This window comes from Homo sapiens, chromosome 20 (genome assembly GCF_000001405.40).
Source record: "Homo sapiens chromosome 20, GRCh38.p14 Primary Assembly".
In the NCBI taxonomy this organism is placed as follows: Eukaryota; Metazoa; Chordata; class Mammalia; order Primates; family Hominidae; genus Homo; species Homo sapiens.
Genome location: NC_000020.11, coordinates 37131805 through 37146502, shown reverse-complemented (window position 1 = coordinate 37146502; position 14698 = coordinate 37131805). Strand labels below are relative to the sequence as shown.

The window sequence follows — 14698 nt, the reverse complement described above, 5'->3', positions numbered from 1 at the left end:
AGTCTCGACTTGGCACAGTGGCTCACACCTGTAATCCCAGCACTTTGGGAGGCCGAGGCGGGTGGATCACGATGTCAAGAGATTGAGACCATCCTGGCCAACCTGGTGAAACCCCGTCTCTACTAAAAATACAAAAATTAGCTGAGCGTGGTGGCATGCCTGTAGTCCCAGCTACTTGGGGTGCTGAGGCAGGAGAATCGCTTGAACCTGGGAGGCAGAGGTTGCAGTGAGCCAAGATCACACCACGGTACTCCAGCCTGGTGACAGAGCAAGACTCCATCTCAAAAAGAAAAAAAAAAAAGAAAGAAAAAAGAATAAAAAGAAACGAAGTCTCACTATGTTGCCCAGGCTGGTCTCCAACTCCTGAACTCAAGCAGTCCTCCTACCTCAGCCTCCTAAAGTGCAGGGACTACAGGTGTCCACCACCGTACCCAGCTGAGCTGAAAGTTTTCTATCACCTAGTGACATTGTAGCCATCATAACATTACAGTACAATGCATTATTCATGTTTGTGGTGATACTGGTGTAAACAAACCTACTGCACTGCCAGTCATATAAAAGTATAGCACCTACAATTAGGTACAGTATATATCCTTGGTAATGATAATAAATAACTATGTTACTGGTTCATTTATTTACTATACATTTTATCATTAGTTTAGCATGACTCCTTCTACTTATTAAAAAAACAGTTAGCTGTGAAACATCCCCAGGCAGGCCCTTCAGGAGGTATTCCTAAAGAAGGCATTGTTATCATAGGAGATGACAGTTCCATGCGTGTTATTGCCCTGAATACCTTCCAGTGGGGCAGGATGTGGAGATGGAAGACAGTGGTATTGATTATCCTGATCTTGTGTAGGCCTAGGCTAGTGTGTGTTTTTTGTCTTAGTTTTTAACAAAAACACTTTAGAATGTAAAAAAAAAAAAAATTAGGCCAGGCACAGTGGCTCATGCCTGTAATCCCAGCACTTTGGGAGGCCAAGGAGGGTCCATCACCTGAGGTCAGGAATTCAAGACCAGCCTGGCCAACAGGGCAAAACCCCATCTCTACTAAAAATACAAAAATTAGCCTGGCGTGATGGCGCGTGCCTATAGTCCCAGCTACCCAGGAGGCTGAGGCAGGAGAATCGCTTAAACGTGAGAGGTGGAGGTTGCAGTGAGCTGAGATCACGCCACTGCACTCCAGCCTGGGTGACAGAGTGAGAGACTCTGTCTTAAAAAAAAAAAAAGAAGGTACTCTCTATGTGATGTTCATGCAGTGACGCAATAGCCTAACAGTGCATTTCTCAAAACATATCCCTGTTGTTAAGCTACACACAACCGTAGTTCCTCTGCCTCAGTCTGCGCTTCACATGGATGAGGAAGCTCCATGCTTCCCAAAGCAACTGTCCTGTCATTGGGCACAGTATGAGCAATCTCTACCAGGTATACAGCCAAAGAAATACGTTGATTATTGATTCAGCAAATAGTTATGAAGCATTTATTGTTCTAGTGATGCATCAGTAATCAAGACAAACAAGATACCTTCCCCCAGGGAACTTATTTTCTAGTTGGAGAGAAAGTATCCTCAGCCAAGGGCTCAAAGATAAATTTTCCATCTACGAATTTCCAGCAAATATTAGGTCACAATGAAACATGAGAAAAACAAGACACTACAAGGAGCATTGGCATACTTGACACATGATGAAGAGTTCTGATATCAGAATTATCATACACAGTATAGAGTTGGGCAATTTTTTCTGGGAACCTAAGCTTCATAGGGAGACCCCTCACAGTTCCTCACCAGTGGGGAAATAAGGTAGCATGCTTTGGTTGTACTCACAAATCACTCAAATGCTCTGGTCTTACAAAAAGCTCTTTGCTTTTGCTTTTTTCTTCTTCTTCTTCTTTTTAAAGACAGGGTTGGCTGGGCATGGTGGCTCATGCCTGTAATCCCAGCACTGGGGGAGGCTGAGGTGGGTGGATCACCTGAGGTCAGGAGTTCGAGGCCAGTCTGAACCAAAATGGAGAAACCCCATCTCTACTAAAAATACAAAATTAGCTGGGCATGGTGGCGCATGCCTGTAATCCCAGCTACTCAGGAGGCTGAGGCAGGAGAATCACCTCCAGGAGGCAGAGGTTGCGGTGAGCTGAGATCGCGCCATTGCACTCCAGCCTGGGTGATAAGAGTGAAACTCTGCCTCAAAAAAAAAATTTAAAAAAGAAAAGACAGGGTCTTAACTCTGTCACCCAGGCTGGAGTGCAGTGGCGTGATCTCGGTTCACTGCAAGCTCCACCTCTTGGGTTCAAGTGATCCTCCCACCTCAGCCTCCCAAGTAGTTGGGACTACAGGAGTGCGCCACCATGCTTGGCTAATTTTTTTATTTTTCGGTATCGCCATGTTGGCCAGGTTTGTCTCGAAATCTTGACTTCAAGTGATCCATCTGCCTCGACCTCCTCTTTGTTTTTTCTTTTGGTTCTTTTTATGTATTGTTCTAGAAGGAAAGAGAAATAAATCAGCCTTCAGATGAACAAACACTCCCTCCCCCAGGCATTTTTGTTCAAGTGAAAAAGAAGAGTGAGATCTTGGAATCCACTTTAAACTGAAGATCAACCAGACCTGTAAAATCAAGAAGAAAAAAAGAAGCCAGAAAGTATTAATATTTTATATTTTCTTTTCAGATATCACTCATGACAAGAAAGATCAGCAAAACTTGAAAAGAGCATTGACAAAATGTCGAGAATTCCTGGAGCTCCACAGCTCTGCCGCTAAATGCTTCTACAACTGTCCCTTCAGAATTGCCCAGGTAATAAGAATGGCTAAAATTATAACCACAGCCAGAAGTGTTGGCAAGGATGGGGAACAACCAGAAGTCTCCTGCCATTTATTCATGGAAACGTAAAACAGTAAAAACCACTTTGGAAAAAGTTCTGGTAGTTTCTTATAAAACAAAACCATACACAATTGCCCAGGAAACGTGGTCTCTAAACGTTCCGTAGTTTGGAGACAAGGCACCATGTTCCTGGCCCATATATGCCTTGCCTTCTTAGTTTGGGGGTTAAGGTCAACCTGCCATTGAGGCCAGTATCCCTGGACTTCACTTCATACCAGCTCTGCTCCTACTATTCATAATTGCGAGTCTCTTGCAAATGTAAATGCTGGTCACAAAAAGGAGCTGCAAGAGAGTATGGTTGATCCAACAAGCCAGACTTTTTAAATTAATGTAGTTATTCATTATTCAATAAATACTTATACATCTGCCAGGTACCAGGTATGCTAGGGAATAGGGGAAAATAAAGAAAACCCACAGATCTTACTCATGTAGGGTGAAAGGTACCAAGTAATTTCATCTCTCTGCACATCAGTTTTCTCATCTGTGCGATGGAGATCTGTAAAAATTGGGACAGTTTTTACAATTTCTTTTTTACAATTTATACTGTTTACAATTCAGTCGTTGTTAAAGGAGATACCGTATGGAAAATGCTTTGCTAAATGCTTGTCACATAGTAAGTGCCCAGTAGATTGTACCTATTATAATCATGTGAAGGACTTTACTACCAAATGCAATGAGAAACAGAATGACACATTCTTTTAGTATGTTGTCTCCTGACAAGGCATTTTAATTATGCCTGGGAACCTGTCAGCTGTGTAACATTAGGGCCTTTTTTTAAGTCCTATCGTATAAAAGTATGACTCTTTCTGAAGATCTCATAATAAAGCTTCTTTCTTTTTCTTTTCTTTCCTTTTCTTTTTGTTTTGTTTTGTTTTGTTTTGTTTTGTTTTGTTTGGGGGGGCTGTTTCTTTGAGACAGAGTTTCGCTCTTGTTGCCCAGGCTGGAATGCAATGGCGCAATCTTGGCTCACTGCAACCTCCGCCTCCTGGGTTCAAGCAATTCTCCTGCCTCAGCCTCTTGAGTAGCTGGGATTATAGGCATGTGCCACTACACCCGGCTAATTTTGTATTTTTAGTAGAGATGGGGTTTCTCCATGTTGGTCAGGCTGATTTTGAACTCTGACCTCAGGTGATCCACCTGCCTTGGCCTCCCAACCAAAGTGGTGGGATTATAGACATGAGCCACATGCCAGGCTTCTTTTTTTTTTTTTTTTTTTTTTTTTTTTGAGACGGAGTCTTGCTCTGTCGCCCAGGCTGGAGTGTAGTGGCACGATCTCGTCTCACCGCAACCTCCGCCTCCCAGATTCAAGCAATTCTCCTCCCGCAGCCTCCCAGGTAGCTGGGATTACAGGCAAGCACCACCACGCCCAGCTAATTTTTGTATTTTTAGTAGAGACAGTGTTTCTCCATGTTGGCCAAGTGGCTAGTCTCAAGTCGTGGGCTCAAGTATTTCTCCCGCTTTAGGGTCCCAAACAACTGGTATTACAGGCATGAGCCACTGCACCTGGTCAATAAAGCTTCTTTCTAAATGTAAGAGCAGCAGGCTGGATGCAGTGGCTCACCCCTGTCATCCCAGCACTTTGGTTGGCTGAGGCGGAAGGATCACTTGAGCCTAGGATTCGAGACCATCCTGGGCAACATAGCGAGACCTCATCTCCACAAATAAAAAAATTAGCTGGCTGTGGTGGTGCACGCCTGTAGTCCTAGCTACTCAGGAAGCTGAAGTGGGAGGATGACTTCAGCCTGGGAGGTCCAGGCTGCAGTGAGCTGTGATCGCACCACTGCACTCCAGCCTCAGTGTCAGAGCAGCAAAAGGCCATGCACAGATGCTAGCAGTGGACATTTGGATTGCTTCCACCTTTTTACCATGGTAAACAAGACTGGGCTGGGTGCATGGCTTGCACCTATAATCCTGACACTTTGGGAGGCTGAGGCAGAAGGATTACTTGAGCCAAGAGTTCACAGCCAGCCTGGGCAACATAGTGAGACCCCTGACTTCACAAAAAATTTTAAAAATTATCAGAGTGTAGTAGCAGGTGCCTGTAGCCTCAGCTACTCAGAAGGCTGAGGCAGGAGGATCACTTGAGCCCAAGAGGTTGAGGCTACAGTGAGCCGTGATTGTGCCCCTACCTGGATGACAGAGTAAGATGCTATCTCCAAAAACAAAACAAAACCACAAGACTCAAATAAAACAGCCTTGTACATCTTTGTCCACTTCTCTGATTGTTAACTTAGACTCAAGTCCTTGTTCAGGACACTTTCTATCATACCATATTTCCCTATTTCTTGGAAGTTCATTTTCCTACATCATTTCAGGTCTTTGAAGGTTTTCTTGATTCAAATGAGCTCTGCCAGTTTATAATGACTACATTTGATACCCTGAAAACCCTGAAACATCCCTGCATCCAGCGATCAGCAGGAGAATTACTGCTAACTTTGGCAAAAAATACAGAGTCCCAATTTGAGAAGGTAAACTTTCAGTGGCAATTTCCTGGGTTCAAAAAGCCAGTAGAACCTCTTCATCCCTGCAGCTATTGAAGTCTCTGCTTGTCCTTCTCAGCTGAGAACGACTACTCATGAGTACAGGGTCAAACCTTAGTCTGTTTAGTCATAAATATCCACTCTATAAACATACACCAAACAACTACTGTGTATGTAACCAGGGAGGGAGACTTTTTTTTTTTTAATCTAAGATGTGGTCTATGACCAGGCACGGTGGCTCGCGCCTGTAATCCCAGCACTTTGGGAGGCTGAGGCGGGTGGATCATGAGGTCAAGAAATCGAGACCATCCTGGCCAACATGGTGAAACCCCGTCTCAACTAAAAATACAAAAAGTAGCTGGGCGTGGTGGCGCGTGCCTGTAGTCCCAGCTACTTGGGAGGCTGTGGCAGGAGAATCGCTTGAACCTTGGAGGTGGAGGTTGCAGTGAGCCAAGATCGCACCACTGCACTCCAGCCTGGGCGACAGGGCGAGACTCCATCTCAAAAAAAAAAAAAAAGATGCGGTCCATATTTTCTAGAAGAGTAGAGTTTTTCTGGGGAGATATAACTAACACATATGAGAATAACTTTAATTTAGATACTCATCCAGATGGGTTAAAGGTATCAAGATTTAAAAAGCTGTAAGTGGTCAGGCGCAGTGGCTCACGCCTGTAATCCCAGTACTTTGGGAGGCAAAGGTGGGCAGATGGCTTGAGCTCAAGAGTTTGAGACCAGCCTCGGCAACATAGCTTAACCCTGTCTCTACTTAAAATACAAAAATTAGCCAGGCATGGTGGTGCACACCTGCATTGCCAGCTATTTGGATGGCTGAGGCAAGAGAATTGCTTTAACCCAGGAAGCGGAGGCTGCAGTGAGCTGAGATCGCGTCACTGCCCTCCAGCTTGGGCGACAAGCTGCCTCAAAATAAATAAATAAAAGTAAATAAAAAGCCATAAGTGACCCTAGAAGGAGGCAGACTTACAAATCAAAATTAAGAGAATTTATCTAAATATATCTAAAATTAATACATTAAGAAATAACTATATAGTTATGTTATTTAGAAATAGAGAAGGACATGCTGGAAGAGACAAAAGGGATAAAAGTAGTTCTCTCTGAAGAACAGACCTGGGGAATAGGGAGGAAAGAAGCTTGAAATACCACTGGATGTTGTAGTTGGGTACAAATAAAAAATAATTTAAGAATGATGAGAACCGGCCAGGTATGGTGGCTCACACTTATAATCCCAGCACTTTGGGAGGTTGAGGCAGGCAAATTGCTTGGGCCCAGGAGTTCAAGACCAGCCTGGGCAACATAGTGAGACCCCATCTCTACAAAAAAATTTTTTTAAATTAGCCAGGCATGGTGGCACACACCTGTGTTCCCAGCTACTTGGGAAGCTGAGGCAGGAGGGTTGCTTGAGCCCAGTAAGACAAGGCTGCAGGGAGCCATGATCATGCCTTTACATTCCAGCCTGGGCGACAGAGGGAGATCTTGTCTCAAAAAACAACAACAAATAAAACAAATTAAAAACAACAACAACAAATGATGAGCACCCTTTTTTTAACCTATTAAAATAACAAAGATGCAAAAAGAATAACACGATAAGAGCAGGTGAGATGGGCATTTGTATCAGTTGGGTGCTTTTAGCAGCAAAAAAAGCCCAGCAGGTAGAAGTTTAACCAAAGGATTTATTCTTTCACATAATAACAAGTCTGGACATAGAGTATTTTCCAAGATTGATTCAGTGATTCAACAGTGTTATTGAAGACCCAGGGGTTTCTTCATCCTTCTGCCTTGTCTGTTCATGTGGTCATAAGGTAGTCAGAGCAATTTTGGACTTTCTGAGTGGAGTAGACTAAGTCCAAGAAGAAGAAAGATGTTGCCTTCCTTTTTATGTCTTGATTCAGGGAAGAAAATCTTTCCGCAAAACGCCGGTAAATTTACCCTTGTGTTTGTTAGCCAGAATTATTATCATTATTATTATTATTATTATTATTTTGTTTATTTGTTTTTGGAGACAGCATTTTGCTCTGTTGCTCAGGCTTGAGTGCAGTGGTGCAGTCTTGCTCCCTGCAACCTCCGCCTCCCAGGTTGCTGTGATTCTTCCACCTCAGCCTCCCAAGTAGATGGGATTACAGGCGCCTGCCATGACACCAAGCTAATTTTTTGTATTTTTAGCAGAGATGGGGTTTCACCATGTTGGCAAGGCAGGTCTTGAACTCCTGACCTCAAGTGATCCGCCTGCCGCAGCCTCCCAAAGTGCTGGGATTACTGCTATGAGCCACCATGCCCAGCCTACTGGTGCTGATGATGGCCATTTTATATTAAGTGGTTGAGGTGTGCCTCTCTGAGAAGCTGACATTTCCACAGAGACAGGAACCCATGCGTCTGTGGGTGGGAAGAGCGGTCCAAGCAGAGAAATAGACCAAAGCCCAGTGGCTCCTATTTCCCTTACCTAAGCCTGATGGACATCTCTGGAAAGAAGATAGGTAAGGACTCCACTGCCATTCTCAGAGTCACAGTGGAAAAAAGCCCAGCTTCCTTGCAACACTTTTATTAGTTTGTCTTGTTATAAAATCAATACATCAATTATTGAGGAAAAATTAGAAAAAATATAGAAGCAAAAAAATCTAATACTCTGTCCCTCAAAAACACAGTATTGACAGCTTTGATTATAAATCTTTCCAAATCCTTCATATGTGTATACACACATACAGATATATTTTAAGTAGTTTTAATCATAAACTTCAAAAAATAATAAACAGTTTGTTTAAAAGTCACCCCCTAGGGGTCAGGCGCAGTGGCTTATACCTGTAATTCCAGCACTTTGGGAGGCCAAGCAGGAGGATCGCTTGAGCCCAGGAATTCAAGACCAGTCTGGGCAACATAGAGAGATCTTGTCTCTACAAAAAAATACAACAATGACCTGGGTGTGGTGGTGTGTGCCTGTAGTCCCAGCTACTCAGGAGGCTGAGGTGGGAGGATCATTTGAGGCCAGGGGTTCAAGGCTGCAGTGAGCTATGTTTGCACCGCTGCATTCCAGGCTGGGCAACAGAGCAAGACCCTGTCTTTAAAAAAAAGTCACCCCCCCAAGACCTTTCAGAAATGGCCACAGTATCCTCAGTAACCATCAGTGTCCTATAGGATTACAGTCTTAGTAATTTCTTTTTCCTCTTCAGGTGCCAGAAATTATGGGAGTTATCTGTGCCCAGTTATCCATAATCAGCCAGCCTAGAGTCCGCCAACAAATCATAAATACCGTGAGTTTATTTATATCCAGACCCAAGTACACAGATATAGTGCTCAGCTTCCTTCTGTGTCATCCAGTGCCGTATAACAGGTAACAGAACCCCGTACAGCCTCTGGATTAAATTGGATTATGTGACACAGCTCTGGGTATTGTGAAACATGGTTGCCCTCAAAAATCTAATGATTGTCTTGTGGAGAAGACACAGTATACATAAAGCTGGTGATATAAATCAGAACATAATGCATAATCATCAGAAAAGAATCCCACAAATCCCAAATGAAGAACATTCTGTAAGATAATTGAACTGGACTCTTCAAAAAAATTAACATCATGGAAGTAAAACTGGTGGTGAGGGAACTGTCCTAGATAAAAAGATATTCAAAAACATACCCAAACGCACTGCGTGACCTTGATTGGATCCTGGTTCAAAAACAAAAGCTATAAAAGAAAGCTTGGAGAAAATTTAAATATGGACTCTATACTAGAATATTAAATTGGTGTAATTTTCTGGCTAGGCACAATGGCTGACACCTGTAATTCCAGCACTTTGGGAGGCAGAAGTGGGCAGATTACTTAAGGCCAGGAGTTCAAGACCAGCCTGGCCAACATGGTGAAACCTCATCTCTACTAAAAATACAAAATTTACCCCCGGGCATGGTGGCAGATGCCTCTAATCCCAGCTACTTGGGAGGCTGAGGCAGGAGAATCTCTTGAACCCAGGAGGAGGAGGTTATAATGAGCCAAGATCACACCACTGCACTCCAGCCTGGGTGACAGAGTAAGACTCTGTCTCAGACAAACAAACAAAAAAAATTAGTGTAATTTTCTTAGGTGTGAAATACTGTGGTTATGCAGAAGGATGTCCTTATTCTTAAGAGATAAGATACTAAAGTTATTTAGAGGTAAAGTGTCATAATGTCTGCAACTGACTTGAGAATGATTTTGCCTAAAAATAAGGCAATAAATATATACATTTAAAAAGTAGATACGCATACATAAAGAAGAATGGAATCAGAGAGAGGATCAAACAGGATGGGTTTTTTGTTTATTTTTGTGGGTACATAGTAGGTGTAAAGACGGTTTTTTCGATTAGTGTTTTTCACATTTGGAGGCACCCTGGAAAGTTCCACAAAGATGCCTACGGATGGGGCAGGAAGGCTTCAGAATAAAGTTCCATGCCCCCACCCCACTTTAACCAGAGCAGCGCTTCTTTTTATCTGCTTTCTCTATTGTGATTCTGGGCAATTATTTTATTTAAGAAGAGATTTCCCTGCTTTAAACTATTTGAAAAATATTCTTTTAAGTGAATGGTTCTCACATAATATCTTGATGTAGTGCTTATTGTGTTCTCTAAACTGAACTAAATCAAATAATGGAAGACTTTTACCCATTCAGAGAAAAAAAAGAATGCGGATTTTTTTAAAAGCTGGGCGTGGTGGCACGCGCCTGTAGTCCTAGCTACTCAGGAGGCTGAGGCAGGAGAATCACTGGAGGCCAGGAGTTTGGGGCCATCGTATATGATGATTGGACTTGTGAATAGCCACTGCACTCCAGCTTGGAGTAACAGTCTTACTTTTTTTTTTTTTTTAAAGACAGTTTCTCAATCATGGCTCACTGCAGCCTTGAACTCCTGGGCTCAAGTGATCTTCCCACCTCAGCTGCCTGAGTAGCTGAGACTATAGGTGTGTACCACCACACTCAAGCTTTTTAAATTTTTTAAAATTTTTTGAGCTTGCTTTTGTATATTTCTCTAACAAATTGTTCTTAAATGTTTGGTACTTGCTACAGCTTATCCGTACTCAACTCTTATATAAAAATTAATCTTTCAGAGGCCAAAGGGGGTGGATCACCCAAGGTCAGGAGTTCCAGACCAGCCTGGCCAACATGGTGAAACCCCATCTGTATTAAAAAAATACAAAAATTAGCCTGGCATGGTGATGCGCACCTGTAATCACAGCTACTTGGGAGGCTGAGGCAGGAGAATCTCTTGAACCTGGGAGGCGGAGGTTGCAGTGAGCCGAGATCGCGCCACTGCACTCCAGCCTGGGAGACAAAGCAAGACTCTGTCTCAAATTAAATAAATAAATAAATAAATCTAAGTACAAAATACTAAATATATTTAGTTTTGTTTTTTGTGGGGTTTTTAAAGACAGGGTCTTTCTCTGTCACCCAGGCTGCAGTGTAGTGACACAGTCATAGTTCACTGCAGCCTCGACCTTCCAGGCTCAAGCAGTCTTCCCACCTCAGCCACTGGAGCAACTGGGACTACAGGCCCACACCACCTGGCCCAGCTAAATTTTTTATTTTTTGTGGTTTCTCAATGTTATCCAGGCTGGTCTCGAACTTCTGGGCTCAAGTGATCCACCTGCCTCAGCTTCCCAAAGTGCTAGGATGACAGACATGAGCCACCGTGTGCTGCCCTATTTAATTATTTTAAGTATGCTTTTAGCATTATTCTCTTGTTTGTATTTGTTCTACCTCTGGGAGGACTTTGAGAACTGCTGTAGATCATACGCAAACTATGGAATCTTTTAGAAATTTAACTGACTTATTCAGGAAATGTTATTATTATTATTATTATTAATTTTTTTTGAGACAGAGTCTTGCTCTGTCACCCAGGCTGGAGTGCAGTGGCGCGAACTCGGCTCACTGCAAGCTCCGCCTCCCGGGTTCACGCCATTCTCCTGGCTTAGCCTCCCAAGTAGCTGGGACTACAGGCACCCGCCACCACCCAGCTAATTTTTTGTATTTTTAGTAGAGATGGGGTTTCACCGTGGTCTCAATCTCCTGACCTCGTGATCCGCCCGCCTCGGCCTCCCAGAGTGCTGGGATTACAGTATTTTTAGTAGAGAGGGGGTTTCACCGTGGTCTCAATCTCCTGACCTCGTGATCTGCCCGCCTCAGCCTCCCAAAGTGCTGGGATTACAGGCATGAGCCACCGCGCCCGGCCAGGAAATGTTATTCTGATTATATTTTTGTCATTTACCTGAAGTTCATTATGTCACAGGGGAGCAAGGACTGGGCTGGTGGCGCTGGGGTAAAAGAATTTACCAAGACAGTTGTGGGTAGAGGAAGGCAGATTTATTAGAGAAAGTAGGAAAATAATGGCGCCAGAGAGACAACAGACAGCCTGCAAAAGAGAAGCGGACTGCCAGGAGACAAAGACTTGTTGAAGATTTTACAGCATAGTGTTCATGCTGCGTGTTGAAGAGGGCCTTGTGCAGTATAGATAATGCCAAGTTGCAATGAGCTAATTTGCAGGTGTCTGGTGATAGTTGGGCACAGGAAGATGGGGAGTTGATTGCACAGAAGGGCCGTGTCCTGGACCATGAAGAAAGGCAGACTTACAGCTTATCTGCTTTTTCTTTTTGCTTTCCCTTGCTCCCGCCAGCCTGGCTTCCTTCCCCTAATTAGGACTCCACACGTTAGTGGGTTTACATATAGATTGGAGTGGTTGTTCTTAGGAGGCTGCCTAAAGCATCAACTATGTGCAAGGTGCTATTAGGACCCATAAGTAATGGACAGGACATGCACCCCGCCCTTAAGCAGCACAGTCTGGTAGCCCCATAGATGCATAAGTATTCTAAAGCTAAGTAGGGAGTTCTGTGGAAGCCCCTAGGTCAGGACTTAATTAAATGAAGGGTCAGGAAGTGATTTCTGAAAGCAGAGCTGCCCCCAAGCTGATGAATGCTAAGAGCCAGATGCAGATCAAAGTGGCTGGAGAGGAAAGTAGATAGTAAGAAGGGCTCAGATACCAGGGATCTTTTTGCAGTGATGGAAATGTTCTAAAATTGGATCGTCGTCATGGTTGCACAACTTTGTAAATTTACTAAAAGTCAGTGAGTTGTATACTTAAGACAGTATTCACTAATTATTTTTTCATTTTCTATAGTAATATAATCCCTGAACTTTAGTTGGGTATTTGAAATACTCTTATTTCCTAGACTTTTTGCATATAGGTGTGACTATTTGTCTAAATTCTGGATGCAAATTGAAGTAGTACATGCAACCTATGGCAAATAACCTTAAAGGGAGAGAGTAGGCTCATCATCTTTCTTCTTCCTGCCACCTGGAAAGTGATGTGATGGCTAGAGCTGAAGCATGTTGGCCAGGATGGTCTCAATCTCCTGACCTCATGATCCGCCCGCTTTGGCCTCCCAAAGTGCTGGGATTTCAGGCGTAAGCTACCACGCCCAGCTACTAAAGCTGCTTTTAAAAAGTGGTCAGAAGTTAGCAGCGATAGATTGGGACCAACTAAGAACTACAATAGTGGACTTTATACTACAGGAGTTGGGAAGCCACTGAAGAACTTTAGTTAAGGGACTTACATCATCAGATGCAGATTTTTAGTGTGACTCTGATGGAAATGGATTAGAGGCTGTTCTACCAAACAGGAAGAGAGACAGGCAGTTAAGCAGTTGCACCTTTTCCAGGCAAAAGATGATGATGCCCTGATTAGGGCAGTGGCTTCAGAGATGGAGAGGAGGAGGGAGTAAAGAAACAGGAGCATTGGCCAGACACGGTGGCTCACGCCTGTAATCCTAGGACTTTGGGAGGCCAAGGCAGGTGGATCGCCTGAGGTCAGGAGTTCGAGACCATTCTGGCCAACATGGCGAACCCCATCTCTCCTAAAAATACAAAAATTAGCCGGGCTTGGTGGCATGTGCCTGTAATCCCAGCCACTCTGCAGGCTGAGGCAGGAGAATTGGCTTGAACAGTGAGCCAGGATCACACGACTTCACTCCAGCCTGGGCAACAGAGCAAAACTCCATTTCAAAAAAAGAAAAAGAAAAAAAGAAATAGGAGCATCTGTAGGCAGACCTTGATTGAATCAGAAAGGAATGGCAGGGAGGAAGAAGGCATTCAGGCTAACTCCCCACTCCTCAGTTTTTGGCTTTGGAGGCCAAGTTAATGGTGGTATCATTTACTGACACAGGAATTACACTACATTTTCACCACTGACTGTTTCTCTATGGGACATGAAATACTTTAAGAAACTCAGTTCACTAATGCAGGACCAAAGAAGTCATAGAGTACATATGTGACATGTGTCCCTCATACTACCCTGGTGCAGTGCTCTGTCCCAGTACTCCACCAGAAAAGACAAGAGGCTGTTTCTCTTTCTATTCTGTAAGGATGCTACAGCAAGATATTTGTTCTTAAAGATGTAGGCTTCTTCAGTCTCCTAGTGCAGTGTTTGTTAAAGTGTCTGAAACACTGCCTCAGAATCCCCTATGATGCTTGTTAAAAAAAAAATGTATCTTCTGGCTAGGTGTGGTGGCTCATACCTGTAATCCTAGCACTTTAGGAGGTTGAGACGGGTGGATGGCTTGAGCCCAATAGTTCAAGACCAGCCTGAGCAATATGGTGAAACCCTGTCTCTACAGAAAGTGCAAAATTTGCCAGTTGTGGTGGCACACGCCTATAGTTCCAAATACTCAGGAGGCTGAGGTGGGAGAATTTACCTGAGCCCAGGAAATTGAGACTGCAGTGAGCTGTGATCACACCACTGCACTCCAGCCTGAGCATCAGAGTAAAACCCTGTCTCAAAGAAGAAAAGCATTTTCCAAGACCCTACATCACACATACTATATTAGTCAGGACTCTTGGTTGGAAGTAGCAGAAACTGAGCTCACACTACCTTAAGAAATTGTATAGGCTTATATTACAGCAAAGTCCAAGGGTCTGTCGTCAGGATTGAATCCCGAGACTCAGTTTATTTCATCAGGGCTCCATTCATCTCTCAGATGGACTTGCACTAAAGGTGGCAAAGATGGTTACTATCAGCTCAAAACTGCAGTGGAAAGGGTGTGTCATTTCCTTTTAAGCTTTTTAGTCCTGGGCAGGACTCTGATTAGCCTGGCTTGGAGTCAGCTCCCACCAAACTACACGAACCAAATAGGATTGTTAAGGATCTTGAAAAGGTGGTTTCCCAAAGGGATGATGGGCAAACAAAACCCATGTCACAACTACAGACAGAATCAGAATCACTGGAGGTGGGAAGATTTTTTCCATATTTTAAACAAACTCTCCAGATGTTTCTCACACTGAAATTCATGAACCATTGGCTTAAAGGCTGTGCGCTTTCTAAATTC

At 43.6% G+C, this 14698-nt stretch overlaps 1 protein-coding gene across 3 annotated transcripts in view; it reads left to right on the top strand.

Moving 5' to 3' along the window:
- MROH8 (maestro heat like repeat family member 8) overlaps positions 1–14698 on the top strand; it is a 78382-nt gene that overhangs the window by 33046 nt on the left and 30638 nt on the right. For all 3 annotated transcript variants that reach the window (NM_152503.8, NM_213632.3, NM_213631.3), the window contains 3 exon segments: positions 2662–2786; positions 5189–5341; positions 8533–8693. In NM_152503.8, coding sequence (NP_689716.4) covers positions 2662–2786; positions 5189–5341; positions 8533–8693 — 439 coding nt within the window.